At 38.1% G+C, this 19,728-nt stretch overlaps 1 protein-coding gene across 4 annotated transcripts in view; it reads left to right on the top strand.

The window, feature by feature from the left end:
• INVS (inversin) overlaps window positions 1-19,728 on the top strand; it is a 202,933-nt gene that overhangs the window by 133,075 nt on the left and 50,130 nt on the right. For 3 of the 4 annotated variants that reach the window (NR_134606.2, NM_001318381.2, NM_014425.5), the window contains 3 exons: window positions 7,743-7,923; window positions 10,253-10,362; window positions 14,299-14,470. Coding sequence is in view for 3 of the 4 variants with exons in the window: in NM_001318381.2 (NP_001305310.1) it covers window positions 7,743-7,923; window positions 10,253-10,362; window positions 14,299-14,470 (463 nt within the window). In the remaining variant the exon portion in view is untranslated. Of the gene's footprint in view, window positions 1-7,742; window positions 7,924-10,252; window positions 10,363-14,287; window positions 14,471-19,728 lie in introns of all 4 variants that reach the window. The other variant, NM_001318382.2, reaches the window with a different exon arrangement.

Below are 19,728 nucleotides of genomic sequence, written 5' to 3' on the forward strand. Positions count from 1 at the left end.
TGATAGTTTCTTTTGCTGTGCCAAAGCTCTTTAGTTTCATTAGATCCCATTTGTCCATTTTGGCTTTTGTTGCCATTGCTTTTGGTGTTTTAGTCATGAAGTCTTTGCCCATGCCTATGTCCTGAATGGTATCGCCTAGGTTTTCTTCTAGCATTTTTATGATTTTAGGTCTTACGTTTAAGTCTTTAATCCATCTTGAGTTAATTTTTTGTATAAGGTGTAAGGAAGGGGTCCAGTTTCAGCTTTCTGCATATGGCCAGCCAGTTTTCCAAACAACATTTAGGAAATAGGGAATCCTTTCCCCATTGCTTGTTTTTGTCAGCTTTGTCATAGATCAGATGATTGTAGATGTGTGACATTATTTCTGAGGCCTCTGTTCTGTTCCATTGGTCTATATATCTGTTTTGGTACAAGTACCATGCTGTTTTGTTTACTGTAGCCTTGTATTATAGTTTGAAGTCAGGTAGCTTGATACCTCCAGCTTTCTTCTTTTTGCTTAGGATTGTCTTGGCTATACAGGCTCTTTTTTTGTTCCATAGGAAATTTAAAGTAGTTTTTTTCTAATTATGTGAAGAAAGTCAATGGTAGCTTGATGGAAATAGCATTGAATTTATATATTACTTTGGGCAGTATGGCCATTTTCATGATATTGATTCTCCCTGTCCATGAGTGTGGAATGTTTTTCCATTTGTTTGTGTCCTCTCTTATGTCCTTGAACAGTGGTTTATAGTTCTCCTTCAGGGAACTACAATGTGAAGAAGTCCTTCACATCCCTTGTAAGTTGTATTCCTAGGTATTTTATTTCTCTTTGTAGCAATTGTGAATGGGAGTTCACTCATGATTTGCTCTTTGTTTTTCTGTTTTTGGTGTATAGGAATGCTTGGGAGTTTTGCACATTGATTTTGTATCCTGAGACTTTGCTGAAGCTGCTTATCAGCTTAAGGAGTTTCTGGGCTGAGACGATGGGGTTATCTAAATACACAATCATGTCATCTGCAAACAGAGACAATTTGACTTCCTCTCTTCCTGTTTGAATACCTTTTATTTCTTTCTCTTACCTGATTGCCCTGGCCAGACTTCCAATACTATGTTGAATAGGAGTGGTGAGAGAGGGTATCCTTGTCTTGTGCCAGTTTTAAAAGGGAATGCTTCCAGTTTTGCCAATTCATTATGATATTGGCTGTGGGTTTGCCATAAATAGCTCTTATTATTTTTAGATATGTTCCATCAATACCTAATTTATTGAGTGGTTTTAGCATGAAGCGGTGTTGAATGTTATCAAAGGCCTTTTCTGCATCTATTGAGATAATCATGTGGTTTTTGTCATTGGTTCTGTTTATGTGATGGATTACATTTATTGATTTGCATATGTTGAATCAGCCTTGCATCCCAGGGATGAAGCTGACTTGATCATGGTGGATAAGCTTTTTGATGTGCTACTGGTTTCGGTTTACCAGTATTTTATTGAGGATTTTCGCATTGATGTTCATCAGGGATATTGGCCTGCAATTTTCTATTTTTCTTGTGTCTCTGCTAGGTTTTGGTGTCAGGATGATGCTGGCCTCATAAAATGAGTTAGGGAGGATTCCCTCTTTTTCTATTGTTTGGAATAGTTTCAGAAGGAATGGTACCAGCTCCTCTTTGTACCTCTGGTAGAATTTGGCTGTGAATCCATCTGGTCCTGGACTTTTATTGGTTGGTAGGCTATTAATTACTGCCTCAATTTCAGAACTTGTTATTGGTCTATTCAGGGATTTGACTTCTTCCTGGTTTAGTCCTGGGAGGGTGTATGTGTCCAGGAATTTATCCATTTCTTGTAGATTTTCCAGTTTATTTGCATGGAAGTGTTTATAGTATTCTCTGATGGTAGTTTGTATTTCTGTGGGGTCAGTGGTGATATCCCCTATATCATTTTTTATTGTGTCTATTTAATTCTCTGTTTTCTTCTTTATTAGTCTGGCTAGTGGTCTATTTTGTTAGTCTTTTCAAAAAACCAGCTCCTGGATTCACTGATTTTTTTGAAGGATTTCTCATGTTTCTGTCTCCTTCAGTACTGCTCTGATCTTAGTTATCTCTTGTCTTCTGTTAGGTTTTTAATTTGTTTGCTCTTGATTCTCTACTTGTTTTAATTGTGATGTTAGGGTGTCAATTTTAGATCTTTCCTACTTTGTCCTGTGGGCATTTAGTGCTGTAAATTTCCCTCTAACCACTGCTTTAGCTGTGTCCCGCAGATTCTGGTACGTTGTGTCTTTGTTCTCATTGGTTTCAAAGAACTTATTTATTTCTGCTTTTATTTCATTATTTGCTCAGTAGTCATTCAGGAGCAGGTTGTTCAGTTTCCATGTAGTTGTGCGGTTTTGAGTGAGTTTCTTAATCCTGAGTTCTAATTTGATTGCACTGTGGTCTAAGAGACTGTCTGTTATGATTTCCATTCTTTTACATTTGCTGAGGAGGTTTTACTTCCAATTACGTGGTCAATTTTAGAGTAAGTTCTATGTGGTACTGAGAAGAATATATATTCTGTTGATTTGGGGTGGAGAGTTCTGTAGATGTTTATTAGGTCCACTTGATCCATAGCTGAGTTCAAGTCCTGAATATCCTTCTTAATTTTCTGTTGTGTTGATCCATCTAATATTGACAGTGGGGTGTTAAAGTATCCCACTATTATTGTGTGGGAGTGTAAGTCTCTTTGTAGGTCTCAAAGAACTTGCTTTATGAATCTGGGTGCTCCTGTATTGGGTGCATATATATTTAGGATAGTTCGCTCTTCTTGTTATATTGATCCTTTTACCTTTAAGGAATTCCCTTCTTTGTCTTTTTTGATCTTTGTTGGTTTAAAGTCTGTTTTATCAGAGACTAGGATTGCAACCCCTGCTTTTTTTTTTTCTTTCCATTTGCTTGGTAAATCTTCCTCCATCCGTTTATTTTGAGCCTGTGTGTGTCTTTGCACATGAGATGGGTCTCTTGAATTCAGCACGCTGGTGGGTCTTGACTCTTTATCCAATTTGCCAGCCTTTGTCTTTTAATTGAGGCATTTAGCCCATTTACATTTATGGTTAATATTGTTATGTGTGAATTTGATCCTGTTATCATGATGCTAGCTGGTTATTTTGTACGCTAGTTGATAGTTTCTTCATAGTATGGTTGGTCTTTATATATTGGTATCTCTTTGCAGTGGCTGGTACCAGTTTTTCCTTCCCATATTTAGTGGTTCCTACAGGAACTCTTGTAAGGCAGGCCTGGTGGTGACAAAAATCCCTCAGCATTTGCTTATCTGTAAAGGATTTTATTTCTCCTTCACTTATGAAGCTTAGTTTGGCTGGATATGAAATTCTGAGTTGAAAATTCTTTTCTTTAAGAATGTTGAATATTGGCCCCCACTCTCTTCTGGCTTGTAGGGTTTCTGCAGAGAGATCTGCTGTTAAGTCTGATGGGTTTCCCTTTAAGGGTAACCTGATCTTTCTGTCTGGCGCCCCTTAACATTTTTTTCTTCATTTGAACCTTGGTGAATCTGATGATTATGTGTCTTGGGGTTGCTCTTCTTGAGGAGCATCTTAATGGTGTTCTCTGTATTTCCTGAATTTGAATATTGGCCTGTCTTGCTAGATTAGGGAAGTTCTCCTGGATAATATCCTGAAGTGTGTTTTCCAACTTGGTTCCATTCTCCTCATCACTTTCAGGTACACCAGCATAGGTTTGGGAAATAGTCCCATATTTCTTGGAGGCTTTGTTCATTCCTTTTCATTATTTTTTCTCTAACCTTGTCTTCATGCTTTATTTCATTAAGTTGATCTTCAGTCTCTGATATCCTTTCCTCCACTTGATCGATCCGGCTGTTGATACTTGTGTATGCTTCACGAAGTTCTCGTGCTGTGTTTTTTAGCTCCATCAGGTCATTTATGTTCTTCTATAAACTGGTTATTCTAGTTAGCAGTTCCTGTAATCTTTTATCAAGGTTCTTAGCTTCCTTGCATTGGGTTATAACATGCTCCTTTAGCTTGGAGGATTTTATTACCCACCTTCTGAAGTCTTCTTCTGTCAATTCATCAAACTCATTCTCTGTCCATTTTTGTTCCCTTGCTGGCAAGGACTTGTGATCTTTTGGAGGAGAAGAGGCATTCTGGTTTTTGGAATTTTCAGCATTTTTGCACAGGTTTTCCCTCATCTTCATGGATTTATCTACCTTTGATCTTTGATGCTGATGACCTTTGGATGGGATTTTTGTGTGGGTGTCCTTTTTGTTGATGTTGATATTATTGCTTTCTGTTTGTTAGTTTTCCTTCTAATAGTCAGGCCTCTCTTCTAGGGGCCTGCTGGAGTTTGCTGGAAGTCCACTTCAGACCCTGTTTGCGTGGGTATCACCAGCAGAGGCTACGGAACAGTAAAGATTGCTGCCTGTTCTTTCCTCTGGATGCTTTGTCCCAGATGGGCAACTGCTAGATTCCAGCTGGGGCTCTCCTGTATGAGGTGTCTGCCGACCCCTGCTGGGAGGTGTCTCCCAGTGAGGAGGCACAGGAGTCAGGGACCCACTTGGGGAGGCAGTCTTTCCCTTAGCAGAGCTCAAGCACTCTGTTGGGAGATCTGCTGCTTTCTTCAGAGCTGGCAGGCAGGAACATTTAAGTCTGCTGAAGCTGTGCCCACAGCCACTCCTTCCCCAGGTGCTCTGTCCTAGGGAGATGGGAGTTTTATCTATAAGCCCCTGACAGGAACTGCTGCCTTTCTTTCAGAGATGCCCTGCCCAGAGAGGAAGAATCTAGAAAGGCAGTCTGGCTATAGCGGCTTTGCTGCGCTGTGGTGGGCTCCGCTCAGTTCAAACTTCTTGGAGGCTTTGTTTACACTGTGAGGGGAAAACCGCCTACTCAAGCCTCAGTAATGGTGACACCCCTCCCCCCACCACGCTCAGGCATCCCAGGTTGACTTCAGACTGCTGTGCTGGCAGCGAGAATTTCAAGCTAGTGGATCTTAGCTTTCTGGGCTCCAGGGAGGTGGGACCCACTGAGCAAAACCACTTGGCTCCCTGGCTTCAGCCCCCTTTCCAGTGGAGTGAACGGTTTTGTTTCCCTGGGGTTCCAGGTGCCACTGGGGTACAAAAAAGAACTCCTGAAGCTAGCTCAGTGTCTGCCCAAACGGCCACCCAGTTTTGCGCTTGAAACCTAGGGCCCTGGTGCTGTAGGCACCCTAGGGAATCTCCTAGTCTGAAGGTTCTAAAAACCGTGAAAAAAGTGTAGTATCTGGGCCAGATACCGTCCCTGCCGGCACTGTGCATCACGGCTTCCCTTGACTAGGGGAGGGAGTTCCCTGATCCTTTGTGTTTCCCAGGTGAGGCGATGCCCTACCCTGCTTCTGCTCACCGTCTGTGGGCTGCACCCACTGTCTAACCAGTCCCAATGAGATGAACTGGGCACCTCAGTTGGAAATGCAGAAATCACTCACCTTCTGCATTGGTCTCACTGGGAGCTGCAGACCAGAGCTGTTCCTATTTGGCCATCTTGCTGAGTTGTCCTCTTGACTCCCTTTAGTATAGATCTTTCGGTGGTCAACTCTCTCTGGTTTTTTGTTTGTTTGGTTTTAGTTTTTTTGGGACAGAGCCTTGGGCTGTCTCCCAGGCTGGAGTGCAGTGATGTGATCTCAGCTCACTGCAACCTCTGCATCCTGGGTTCAAGTGATTCTCCTGCTTCATCCTCCTGAGTAGCTGGGACTACAGGCACATGCCACCACGCACAGCTAATTTTTATATTTTTAGTAGAGACGGGGTTTCACCATGTTGGCCAGACTGGTTTTGAACTCTTGGCCTCAAGTGATCCACCTACGTCAGCCTCCCAAAGTGCTGGGATTACAGGCATGAGCCACCACCCCCAGCCAACTCTCCTTTTTAATTGTTAAGAATGTATGCCTCTTGAAAAAAAAATGATTATCCTGTGTACACAGTCCTAGGAATCTATTTTTCTCAGCTCTTTCAGCATATTATTTTGCTACTTTCTGCCTTTTATTATTGCTCTTAAGGAGTCTGTTATTGGTCTGTCATTCCTTTATACATGATGTATCTTTTCTCTCAGGCTGCTTTTACATTTTGCTCTTTGTTTGGCATTCTACAGTTTTACTACAGTGTGTCTAGGTGTGGCCTTTTTAAAAAATCCTGTTTGGTATACATTCTGATTATTGCATCTCAGTTCTGCCAAACATATATAGCTGTTATCTTTAAATATCACCTCTCCTTCATTCCCTTTACTCTTGCCTTTAGGGTCTCCAATTATATATCTTTTAAGGCTTTTTATCTAATCCTCCATGTCTTTTAACTTCTCTTTTATATTCTCATCTCCTTGTCTCTTTCTGTTGCGTCCTAGGTAATGACATCAGATCTGTCTTCGAGTTTACTAAGTTTTTCTTCAAATAAGTCCAACCTGTTGTTTACCCTATCCATTGAACTGTTAATCTTTGTGATGACATTTTTCACTTCTAAAAGTTCTATTTGGTTCTTTTTCAAATCTGCCTGGTAATTTTGATAATGCTTGCTATAAAGATCCAGTAGAAAAATTAATTAACATTGTGAACTCACTAATAAACACATGATTAAAAAATCTCAACCCCATTCATAAATGAACTACAAGTTAAAATAGCAGTGAAATGTCTTTCATAACCATAAGGGAAAAATGCAGTAAGCTTGATAATACCAAATGATTAATTTCTGCCAGCATGTAGGGAAATAAAAACTTTTACATATTGTCATGGGAGTGTTAATTGGTAAGACCATTTGGAGAGTGATGTGACAATACCTGTTTGAAGATATCCTTCACCCCAGCAGTTCCCCTTCTAGCTGTCTAGCCTATGGAAAAATCTCACACATGTGCTACAAGGGATATGTAAAGGAAACATTAATTGCAGCATTGTCTGTAATAGTGAAAAAAAATGGGAATAGCCTAAATGTTCCTCAGTAGGAAAATAGATAACTATATTGTGGTTTATTCAAGCACCTCAATAATTGAACTATTACCAACATAGATATCCAAGGTATAGTGTTGAGAGAAAGAATTGCCAAAGGATACATGTCCGTTGCCATAATGTAAACATTTGAAAACACACATACAAAATTTATATATTGTTTATGGATACATACATATATACAAAAGTATAAAAACATACATCTTTAGTTGAATGATAACAGAAACAAAAGCATATCAGGCAAAATGTTGACACCTTTTTAATCTAGATAATCAGTATGTAATGGTTATATTATTTTCTGTACTTTTTATAATTAAATATGAAAATAATTTTTTAAAGATTTAGACTTTGTACCTTTTCCATGATTTATCACTTGTGCTGAGAGATAATGTAGAGGTCTTATTTCGAAAATTCCTCAGTTAATTCCTGTGCCAGGCTGGGCACAGTGACTCACACCATAATCCCAGCATTTTGGGAGGCTGAGGTAGGAGAATTGCTTGAGCCTAGGAATTCAAGACCAGCCTGAGAAACATGGCAATACCCCATCTCTACAAAAAACACAAAAATTAGCCAGGTGTGGTGGGATGTGCCTGTAGTCCCAGCTACTTGGGAAGCTGAGGCAGGATTGCTTGAGCCCAGGAGTTTGAGGCTGCAGTGAGCTGTGATCATGCCACTGTACTCCAACCTGGGTGACAGAACAAGACCCTGTCTCTAAAAAAGAAAGAAAGAAAAAAATACTTACACCAAATGTAATTTATTGAGGATTCCATGTATGTCTGAAGTCTCTGGTTCCTTCAAATCAGGATGCTGCTCCAACAGAGTCTTTACTGAACTGGCAAGACTACGAGGGTCGAACTCCTCTTCACTTTGCAGTTGCTGATGGGAATGTGACCGTGGTTGATGTCTTGACCTCATATGAAAGCTGCAATATAACGTCTTATGATAACTTATTTCGAACCCCACTGCACTGGGCAGCTTTATTAGGTACGTGACTCAAAGGATCAACAGTAAAAGGAACTTCATGAGTATAGGAATATTTCTGTGCCTTCCCTTCCACTGTTTACTCCCAACTCCTAGTTAATTATTTTGATTTCTAACTGATATGTTGCATTGTTTTATAAACTAAATTATAGTAATATAAATTTATTTTATGTTAAATATTAGTTTTAATTTCAACATCATATCTTCACTTTAAATTTTTGTTATAAAAGTAATTCACATTTAGTGACAACATGTGAATGTAACATAAACCTCTTTTCACATTCAGCGCCTATATTTTTGGGGAGGAGGGCTTTAATTTTATGTTTATGCTAATACTATGATATTTGAGTTTTTTTCTTTATATTTTCCTGAAATGCCTTTTACTTAACCTTTTTGAAGATCACTTTTATAGATGAGAGAGTGTATATATGTGTATGTTTTATGTGTATGTTGGGGTTTTTTGTGTGTGGAGTCAATCTGAGAGTCTTTCTCTTTCAATGAAGGAGTTTTACCCATTAATAGTCATTGTTATAAGATAAATAATCAGGTCTTTTTTTTTCCTGCTATCTTTCTATTCTTAGTGTTTTCAGCTTAACGTTTTGTTTTGTTTTGTTTCCTGTTTCCTTTGCTTTCTGCTCTTTGGTATATGGATTAGATTTGATGTTGTTATTTGATTTTGAATTGCCTAATGTTTTAGGAGGGTTTAGGAGTGGCTACTTTTAAATTTATCAAAAACTTTTTAAAGCCTGAATCAGAGTCAAGAGCAAAAATGCATCTATTGATTCCCACCTATTTAAGACAAAAAATTTAGCACAGATACTCATCACTCTTTTAGTACTTGTTAATGTAATCTGAGATTTCCCCCTAATTATTATAATCTTGATCTTAGTTTTTAAATTACACATTATCTTTTTTTTAAATGATGTTTATATGTGCACTCACTTTTATCGCCAGATTTAGAATTATTATTCAGATTTCATCTTACATCCCTTTTTATTTTTCTTCTGGATTCTGGGCTTACTTGGCAAATTTGTCTCCATGTAACTAAATTGACTTTTTGTTCTATAAGTTTTGCTTTCTTTCTGCCTCCTATATAGATTGTATTTTGGGTTCTATTTTTATTTCCTTGTCTTACCTATATTTCTTTTTATCTCATTTCATTTCCTTTTAACTTCCTTCCATTACTTTTTCATTTCACTCTGTTTTCTTCTTAGAATACCCTGTTTCTGTTTCATAGAAGCCATCTCTTTTTGCACTAAGTCGAGGATACCAGTTGCCTGAAATTTTCCTCTGGATCCTTCTCTAGATCATTTTCAGAGGTATGCTGCTTATCTTCCTGACAGTGTTTCTTTTTCACTTTCCTATAGTATGTTTTTTTGTAGTCCTTACTGAATTTTTCCCTTTATTTCTCAAACAAAATGATATGTGTTTAGAGTAACTATGTGGCAAAGATTGTCTTTAATCCCACATTTGTGTTATGGAGAACTCCATCTTAGACCACCTCTGGAGAGCAGATAGATGAACACAATTTCCACTCAAATTACTTTTCTCTGCTTGGCTTTTATGCAGTATATCCTTGCTCTGCTAATGGGGCATCTTCTTCATTCTCCAATATCTGAAAGCAATAGAGTGTATGAAATTTCAGGTTTCCTACGTATGCTACTACCAGGTTTATTCATTTTTTAATATTTTCTACAGCTCTTCACTTGTGGAGATCACATCCTCCAGAATGCACTACATTGTCTTCATCGCTGCCTTATCATGCCTGCCCACTTGTTTTCTGAGATTTGAAATCACTGCCTAGATGTTATAAAATATAAATATAATAAAAGATTGTGGAAAGGAGAATATAGGGATGGGAAGCCTCAGAGATAGAAGAGGTTGTGTTATAGTTTGTCCACCTGAATAGAAGAGAACAGTTATGCAGTTCTGTTTGGTTGGGCAACGGAACCTTGAGAGTAGGAGCAGTGAAGGCTAAGAGGGCTTGGCTCTAAAGCACCTTCCCCTCCTTTGCTTTAGGCAGCTTTATAAAGTGAAGCCAGGAAATGCAATGAGGTGATACCTAATATAGTTTTTTCTCAGCCTGGCAATTATACTTAATTCATTCCTACCTGATTGAAGCATTAAGTTTTTAGTAAGTTTTCATTCTGTTCTACCTCATATTAATATGTTAGTGAGAAGTTAGAAGAGGCTGCATTGGGGGCTGCTGTTCAGAAACCGTTGTGAATGCTGTATTATGTTAGTGATTTTTCTTATCTTTTTCATTTAAATAGATTATAAATTAATTAACATCCTTTATAAGTGATAATTACCTTTTTGTGTCTTTTCTCAGGCCATGCACAGATTGTCCATCTCCTTTTAGAAAGAAATAAGTCTGGAACTATCCCATCTGACAGCCAAGGAGCCACACCTTTGCACTATGCTGCTCAGAGTAACTTTGCTGTAAGTAAAACAAGACAATGCTCTTTTTTCTTAGTGAAAATTGTTATTTTTATATAATTGTAGATTCATATGTAGTTGTAGGAAATAATACAACAAGATTGCATGTACCCTTCACCTAGTTCACTCTGTTTTTATTTATTTATTTATTTATTTTTCCAATAAGCTTTTTGCACTCCTACACCTAATTCACTCTAATGATAACATCCAATACAATATCATAAACAGGAAATTGACATTGATACAATCCCTGATCTTATTCAGCTTTGCCCAGATTTACTTAGACTCATTTGTCTGTTTTTATGTAGCAATTATCTTTTAACAATGGTTCATGCTGTTCACTCTGTGATGCAAGTGATAGCCTGAGGTTTTTTTAAGTTGTTAGTCACATCTGAAGTTTTATACAGATTTTATTTTAATGTTAAGCATAACATTTTACTTTACTGTAAGAATACTTCATCTTTATATTACTTTTATAGCACTAAGAACATCTTAGTGTTCAGCCACGTGTAATTGTCCTTAAAGCAGTGTGGCAAGGCTTTGGAACTAGAACAATCTCGGCTAGAATCTTGTCTGTGCAGTTTGCTAAACTGTATTACCTTACACAAGTTTCTTAATCTTAGTTTCTTCATATGTAAGATGAGGATAATTATACCTTTTCTTCCAGGATTGTTGTAAAGATTAGAGAAAATTTATGACAAGTGCCTGCTGTATACCTTAGCATAGAGCAGGTACTCAAGAAATAGAATGTGCTCTCATTACTACTAGTGTTGATAATTATGTATATTATACGTCTGAGAATGCAAAAACGAATTATTTCCAAAAATACTGAATAGTATTCATAGTTCTTCCCCTCTACTTTCTCATCCATTATGTCCCCAGTCCACCCTGCAACATGATAGTGTCTAGGCTACTTCAGCTTCCTGAGTATGAATGACCATCAAGAACCAGATTCATCCAAGGATGCACATGTTAAAACAGATTTTGCTGCCTTCTACATGGGTATGCATAGTGAAACCCTTCGTTTCATCAAATTATAATAATACTATCAGGCCGGACACAGTAGCTCACACCTGTAATCCCAGCACTTTGGGAGGCAGAGATGGGCGGATCACCTAAGGTCTGGAGTTCGAGAACAGCCTGGCCAACATGGTGGAAACCCCGTTTCTACTAAAAATACAAAAATTAGCCGGGCGAAGTGGCTGGCGCCTGTAGTCTCAGCTACTTGGGAAGCTGAGGCAGAAGAATCACTTGAACCTAGGAGGCGGAGGTTGCAATGAGCCAGGATAGCGCCACTATACTCCAGCCTGGGCGACAGAGCAAGACTTCATCTCAAAAATAAATAAATAAATAAATAATACTATCATCAAGCGTAGTATAATTTCATCTTTGTGACCTCTCCAAATGCTCTATTAAATACTCAGATCTCTAAAATATCTTATCTTCACACACTTCCTACTCTGGTATCCAGAACAACTATTCCTATAATCCTTGCTTCTTGTATTCCTAATAACTTATTCAATTTACCACCTAGAGTTTTGACAAATCATTATCTATTATCACCTAACAAAGCAGTATTTTAGGAGAAGCTTTTTCTTATTACAAATAGATAGGAAATTAACCTGACCGAGTCTAGTCAATCTATGGAAATCACAGCTCAACCCATAAATCAACACAAGGCTATTAGATAAGTCATGTTATCCCCTGTTTACAGAAAACAAAACAAAACAAAACAAGGTTCCATGAGATTAAATGACTTGCTCATGGTCTTGAACCCAAAATTTAGACTCCAAATTTAATATATATATACAGACACCAATAATTAAATAGGTGTGCTAATGGAAACAAGAAAGAATGGTAGAACATTATTCTTTATAATGACTCAATAATATAATAATATAATAATTGTATTCAAAGAAATATTTTGTTGGATAATCTGCCAATTCCAGAGTTGATTTTTAATAATTATACAAATTATATAAGCTCAGTTTCAAGTCCCTTGATCTCCTTGTCCTCTATTAACTGACAAGAAATTACAACTCGTTCCTTGAAAAATGCAGACACATTCCCCTACACACACAGAGCCCTGTAAACATTCATCATTAAGTAAAAACATACTCAGCAAAGAAATGTTTGCAAATTAGTAAAAGAAAACAAAGCAAAAAATCACAAACTTTTACCTCAGTAACTCAACAAATAGTCTTAAAAGTAGAAAGCAGTGTGTGATGCTGTGGAAGGAGTGCTGTGATTTAACCCTGGATTCTTCCTTTATCTGCCACCAATATTTATATGACCTTGGAACCTACATTTCTTCATCAGTAAAATAAGGAACTGGATTAGATGAGCCCTTGAATTCTTCTTTCTATAAAATACTGAGAATCAACATTTTATACATTTTTGATCAGATCACAGCCTCCAGCACTTTTTGTCTGAAACTCTTTTACCTCCATTCAATCAAAAGTTTCTATGATCTTTCTAAAGTTTATGTGAGTCTGAGTTCAGAATAAAGAGGCAATTTAAAATGCTGGAATATTAACCCCCAATAAAATTGTCAGGCACTAATAGAATTGTCAAGGGTCCTAATTTTTTTTGTTGTTTTTGTTTTGTTTTTGTTTTTGTTTGAGATGGAGTCTCACTCTGTTGCCCAGGCTGGAGTGCAATGATGCAATCTCGGCTCACTGCAACCTCCGTCTCCCGGGTTCAATCAATTCCCCTGCCTCAACCTCCCGAGTAGCTGGGACTACAGGCATGTGCCACCATACCTGGCTAATTTTTTTTATATTTTAGTAGAGACGGGGTTTCACCATGTTGGCCAGGATGCTGTCAATCTCCTGACCTTGTGATCCACCCACCTCAGCCTCCCAAAGTGCTGGGATTACAGGCGTGAGCCACTGCGCCCGGCCCAGTCCTAATTTTTGTATGATTCCATAGAAGAAGGACAATTCAGTAATAAAGGAATTGCTGAATAAATATTTGTTTTAATGAATTCAGCACTGCATTTCTCAGTAACCATCAATCAGTATTCAATAAATGCATTAACCATTTCAAAAATGTTTAGTAACTAATCACATAGTTCCAGTTTGTTCTGGATTTAAGGCAAAAGCAAACAAACAAAAAACACAGTGAGAGAATGCAGAACCTTCTCTGGAGGCATGCCTGAATAGATGGATCTCATGTAAAATGTCCAAGAAAACATGTATTTTATGGGCCAGGTACAGTGGCTCATGCCTGTAATTCCAGCACTTTGGGAGGCCAAGATGGATGGATCACTTGAGGTCTGGAGTTCAAGACCAGCTTTGCCAACATGGTAAAACCCCATCTCTACTAATAATACAAAAATTAGCCGGGTGTGATGACACTCAGCTACTTGGGAGGCTGAGGCAGGAGAATCACTTGAACCTGGGAGGCAGAGGTTGCAGTGAGCCGAGATTGCACCACTGCACTCCAACCTGGGCAACAGAGTAAGACTCCCTCTCAAAAAAAAAAGAAAAAGAAAAAAGAAAAGAAGGAAAGAAAGAAAGAAAGAAAAAGGATGGAGAAGAGAAGAGAACAAGGCAGAAAGAAAGATTTAAATTTTGGTCATTAATAAATAAAACACTGAATACTTCTGAGTTTTCTAACTCTCACTCAAACGATGACCTATAAAGTTTCCAAGCTTGATTGAAGATGATTATTTTCCATTTTGAGGATGTTGAATGGGAGAGTTAGGTTATGTTTATGAAGTGTTATGGACACTACAACTAATTTGTAAGGACAGAGGATTGTTATCTTCGATGGAAATTGTAGTTCTGTCATTAATAAAAAGATAATTTAATTTGATTCAAAAGCAAGGGGAAAATGCTTTGCTTCTTAATGGAATTCACATATTATTATATGACTTTATTACCACAGAAAATACTACTGTTTTGTCTCCATTTTTTAAATCAAGTTTTCTTACAGGAAACGGTTAAAGTGTTTTTAAAACATCCTTCAGTGAAAGATGATTCAGACCTGGAAGGAAGAACATCCTTTATGTGGGCAGCTGGCAAAGGCAGTGATGATGTCCTTAGAACTATGCTGAGCTTAAAATCGGACATAGATATTAACATGGCTGACAAATATGGAGGTACAGGTGAGAACTGGTGGACACATTCAATTTGCTTTCATTTAGGTTCCAAAGTGTAGATGTTGCTATAAAATTTGTAAAATAGCAACTTGAAATCATTGTTCCTAATCTAATATTGTTTGACTTTGGTCTTCAGTTTTAAGTTTGGGTTTGCCAGGATGTCACTCCAAAGGTTTTATTTCTTCCAAGTATTATGGCAAAGATTAGCATGTTTCTACCAAATGAATGGTTGCATTTGGTTTAAAACCCTGGTTGCTCCTTAGACATGATTATGGGGACTCTTCTGATCATTTATCTTTTTGTAAAAAAAAAAAAACCTACACTTTAAAACTATCCATATTTAGTAGTCATGAATTATATTTTCAAAAATTTAGAATTTTATTTAAGGAATGCACACATCTAAGTGTATTCTCACCAGTCTCCTTTACTGTGCTCTTTTCTCAGTTTTGAATAGCATTACCACATCCTGAATCTCCCATTTTTAGAGAGAACCTCCCATGGCTCTAAGATGCTTCAAAGCTTCAAATCAACCTTGCTTGAAAAACTCTTACTAGATACTTCTTTTAATTTCTTTCTCTAATAGAAGAGGCCTTTACCTATGTGTTGGTTAATGAAAGGTAGTTTTTCTGCCTCAGTGTCAACTTGGAGGTCTCTTCCTTGTGTACTGTATCGTACTTACAACTCAGAAACAGAAGGAGAAATCACATACCACCACAATAACACTGAATAGAATAAAAAATCAGTGATGGGCTTCTCCATGTTATTTTTTTTATTTGTAGAAACATGCTAGAGCCATTTGCATCTACTGTTATCCTGAATAAGATTTTTCTTGGCCACCAAAACTACTGATGCAACAGTAGGGAGAGAGAAGGGAGGGGAGTTGCTTTACTTAAAAAAATCTCCCTCCCTATACCGAGACAACCACAGCCTCAAAAAAAAATATTTTAAGAAGACAATTCAATTTTACAATAAAGACTTTAACTTTCAAAAGTATTTCTCTATGAAAGCCTTACAGCAGATCTTAAATTTCTTTTTTTTTCTTTTTGAGACGGAGTCTCACTCTGTCACCCAGGCTGGAGTGCAGTGGCATGATCTTGGCTCACTGCAACCTCTGCCTCCCAGGTTCAAGCAAGTCTCCTGCCTCAGCCTCCCAAGTAGCTGGGACTGCAGGTGGACGCCACCACGCCCAGCTAATTTTTTTTTCTTTTTGTATTTTAGTAGAGGCGGGGTTTCACCATGTTGCCCAGGCTGGTCTCGAACTTCTGAGCTCAAGCAATCCACCTGCCTCGGCCTCCCAAAGTGCTGGGGTTACAGGTGTGAGCCACCGTGCCCGGCCAGCAGATCTTAAATTTCTTAAGGGGCATAGTGCAGACACATAGGATATTGACTTTATAAATGATCTGAACATTTAATTTTTTGTCAGTTTTCCATTATATATTCTTCCACTTTATCACTAGCTTTGATTTTAGTTTAACTTTTTCAGGTATTTGAATAAGGCATGGGCAAGGATACTTGCACTCTTTGACCAAAAGTATCTCATATGCACCATGGTTGAAGTTCAGACATAAATTCTTCTCAGATTCATTAATTTGCTGGTTTCTTTCTTCAATGGGGATTTTATTATGTCAGAGATGCCTTCCTGACATTTCTTTTCTGTGAAAGTGAGTTCCTCTCCGTCATCCCTCTACAGGGTTTTTTTTTTTCCTTCCCATTAAAAAGAGGTCTTACCAATAGCAATGTATGGACATTATTTAGATCCTGACTTAAATAAATAAACTATAAAAAATGTTAAAGCCATCAGGAAAATGTCAATATTATTGAACATTATAGAATTTCTATTAGTATTTTTTAGGCGTGATAACAGCATTATGGTTTTACCAGTGATTAAGCTATTGTCTCTCAGCTTCGTGTTGATCCTTTTGTCCTTTCTTTGCAATGCTGGGCCTGGGTCTCTGTAAATCACATTTCCCCTTTGCCACAGGTGCTCTTTTAGAGTCCACCAATAGAGAGCATTGGAGGGAGACTGGAAGGCTGGAAGATGGACAAGGGATTACATCTTTCTGTTTGTGTCCTGCTCTTGCTTTTGTCTCATTTTCTTTTTTTAGAAAAAAAAAGTTAAAAAATAATAATAATAGTAATAATAAGATGGGATCTCACTGTGTTGCCCAGGCTGGTCTCAAACTCCTGGGCTCAAGCGATCCTCCCACCTCAGCTTCTTCCCAAAGTGCTGAGAATATCATAAGGCAGATGAAAGCATCATATAATATCTGTGATATTTCAGTGATTTCACATTTGAAGAGCATAAGAACCCTTTTCCCCCAAATGAAAAGGGGGGAACCCTTTTCCCCCAAATGAAAATTTATAAAACACCTAACATATAAAGCAAGTAAGGGTTGAGTGGTTCTGACTAAATCAGAAGTGGAGCATTATCCACTCGACTGTCTATTCCCTCAGCTAAGTATTTCAGGTACCTCTATAGAAAGCTGTTGTTCTGAAGAACATGGTTTGGAAAACCCTGGGCTACATTTAGTTTTAAGGTGACTTCTAATTCTGAAATGCTACAATTCTGTGGTGTGGCATCAAGTATGAAATATACTCTATAGATAATATCAATGTCAAATTTTTTTAAAAAATAAAATTTCAATTAAGTAAAAGATAAAATTAATGATCATATTAAAGGAAATTCCCCATTTATGACTATTTGAATTTATTTTTATTTATTTATTTATTTGAGACAGAGTCTCACTCTCTTGCCCGGGCTGGAGTGCAGTGACATGATCTCAGCTCACTGCAACCTCCACCTCCCGGGTTCAAGTGATTCTTCTGTCTCAGCCTCCCTAGTAGCTGGGACTACAGGTGCCCACCACTATGCTGGCTAAGTTTTGTATTTTTAGTAGAGGCGGGGTTTCACCATGTTGGCCAGGCTGGTCTTGAACATCTGACCTCAAATGATCCACCCACCTCGGCCTCCCAAAGTGCTGGGATTACAGGCATGAGCCACCGCGCCTGGCCTGAATTTACTTTATTTAAAAATAACCTTAGGCCGAGCGTGGTAGCTCACGCCTGTAATCCCAGCACTTTGGGAGGCCGTGGCAGGTGGATCACCTGAGGTCAGGAGTTTGAGACCAGTCTGGTCAACGTGGTGAAACCCCGTCTCTGCTAACATTATAAAAATGAGCTGGGTGTGGTGGTACACGCCTATAATCCCAGCTATTTGGGAGGCTGAGGCAGAAGAATCGTTTGAACCTGGGAGGTGGAGGTTGCAGTGACCTGAGATTGAACCACTGCACTCCAGCCTGGATGACAGAGTGAGACTCCATCTCAAAAAATAAAATAAAAATAACCTTGAATTTAGCTATTGTTACTCCCTCTTTGAAAAGTGCTGTAAGTTTATATAGAAACTTAATTTTTTAAAAATATAACTTTATATTATGGAAATCTTCAAACACATTCAAAAGTAGACAGTTGTCCAGTGAACTCAATATAGCTCTCACCCAGCTTCAACAATTATCAATACGTGGCTAATCTTGTTTTATTTAACCACGATTCATTTCCTCTACTTCTGATTGTTTTGAAAAAAATTCTAGAGTCATATCCTTTCATCTGTAAATGTGAATGTTCTACCCTGTGCTGTCTTTCATGTTATAGCACTTCAGATATTTGAAGTTACTCACGCCTGTCTGAATCTTGTCTAGGTCAAACTAACATTCAGTCATTTAGGTCAGTGGTTCCCAAATTCAAGAATGGCATAAGAATTACTAGAGGTGTTTAAATTCAGATTCCCAGGCTATATGGACAAAGATTCTATGTCAAATCCCGTAGCAAGTCCTGTTGACTCCACCTCCAAAATGTGTTCTAAATCATTCTGTTTCTCTTCATCTCCATTGCAACCACCCTAATCAGACCACCATCATTTTTCACTCAGTCTACTGCCAAAATCCTTACTGGTCTCCCTGCTTATATTCTAATCTACTACAAATACTTTCTCCTCAGAAGAGCTAGAGTGATCTGTTTAAAGCATAAATCAGATAATATCACTCCACTATATAAAGCCCTTCAAATGTCTTCCATCACTGACTGATAGGACCATTTGTGATCTGGCCTTTTCTATGTTTCTGACTTACTCCACTGTCACTTACTGTGCTGCAACTACCCTTCCTTCCTTAAACATACACAGTCGTTCCTGTCCTGTACTAACTCTTCCCTTTGCTCAAAATACGCTGTCTTTTTCATGGTTCAGGTCTCAACTTAAATGTCAGCTCATAACCACCAATCAAAAGTAGTCCCTCAGTGATTCTACATATCAAAATAGTTTTTATTACTTTAATTATACCAATTATCACTATATAATAACTTTATTGATGGGGAATTGTTTTGTTTTTGTTTTGTTTTGTTTTGTTTTTGTTTTGTTTTGCTTCCCTTCCTAGAATGTAACCTTATCTATTGTATTCTTTGCTAAACACCCAGCATTATAATACTACCCAGCCCAAAAATCTGCATCCAGGTTTGCTCTGTGGATCACCCTTTATGAAAGAGACATTGTTCTAGGCCTTATAGAGCCATAATACTTAGAACTGGCCAAGGCCTCTAAAGTGTTATTGTGGCTAATTCAAACCTATAGAGGGATGGCATAAGCCAAGCATTACACTGGAGTAACATAGAGAGGAGTCAGTGTACATGAAACACATTTAATCAAAATTACTCTTTAAAACCTCTGGACAGCACAAGAGAGGAGGCCATATTCCATCTCAGTTTTTCTCCAGTGAAGCAAATTCCTGTTTCTTTTCTTTTCTTTTTTTGAGATGAGGTCTTTCTATTTTCTCCAGACTGGTCTAGACCTATTGGGTTCAAGCAGTCCTCCTGCCTCAGCCTCCCAAGTAGCTGGGACTATAGACATGTGCCACCTCGCTGTTTCTTAAATTGAGCCCTGGGGAAGTAGCTGGCTTGTAGCTGATATTGTATTAAAAATGCACTCAATGCAGCAAGATGTGCGTGCTTTCAGTACCACTGGGGTACTTCAGCCAACTGAAGGAACAGTGCATGTAACCAATGGAAGGAACAGTAGATTGATGTCTCCAGTCACATGACCCCTTAGGGGCATATGCTTATTGAGTGGGTTGTTGGGCAGAATTGTGTACATCATTTAAATCATTCCTCTTTGTTATTGTTTTCTTGCTCTCTTAAAGAGAAAAAGAGAAAACTAATAGCTGAAAAGAGAAAACTAGTAGCTGAGAAGAGGATACCATTTCAGACCAACAGGATGG

The sequence above is a fragment of the Homo sapiens genome, chromosome 9, assembly GCF_000001405.40.
Source record: "Homo sapiens chromosome 9, GRCh38.p14 Primary Assembly".
NCBI lineage: Eukaryota > Metazoa > Chordata > Mammalia > Primates > Hominidae > Homo > Homo sapiens.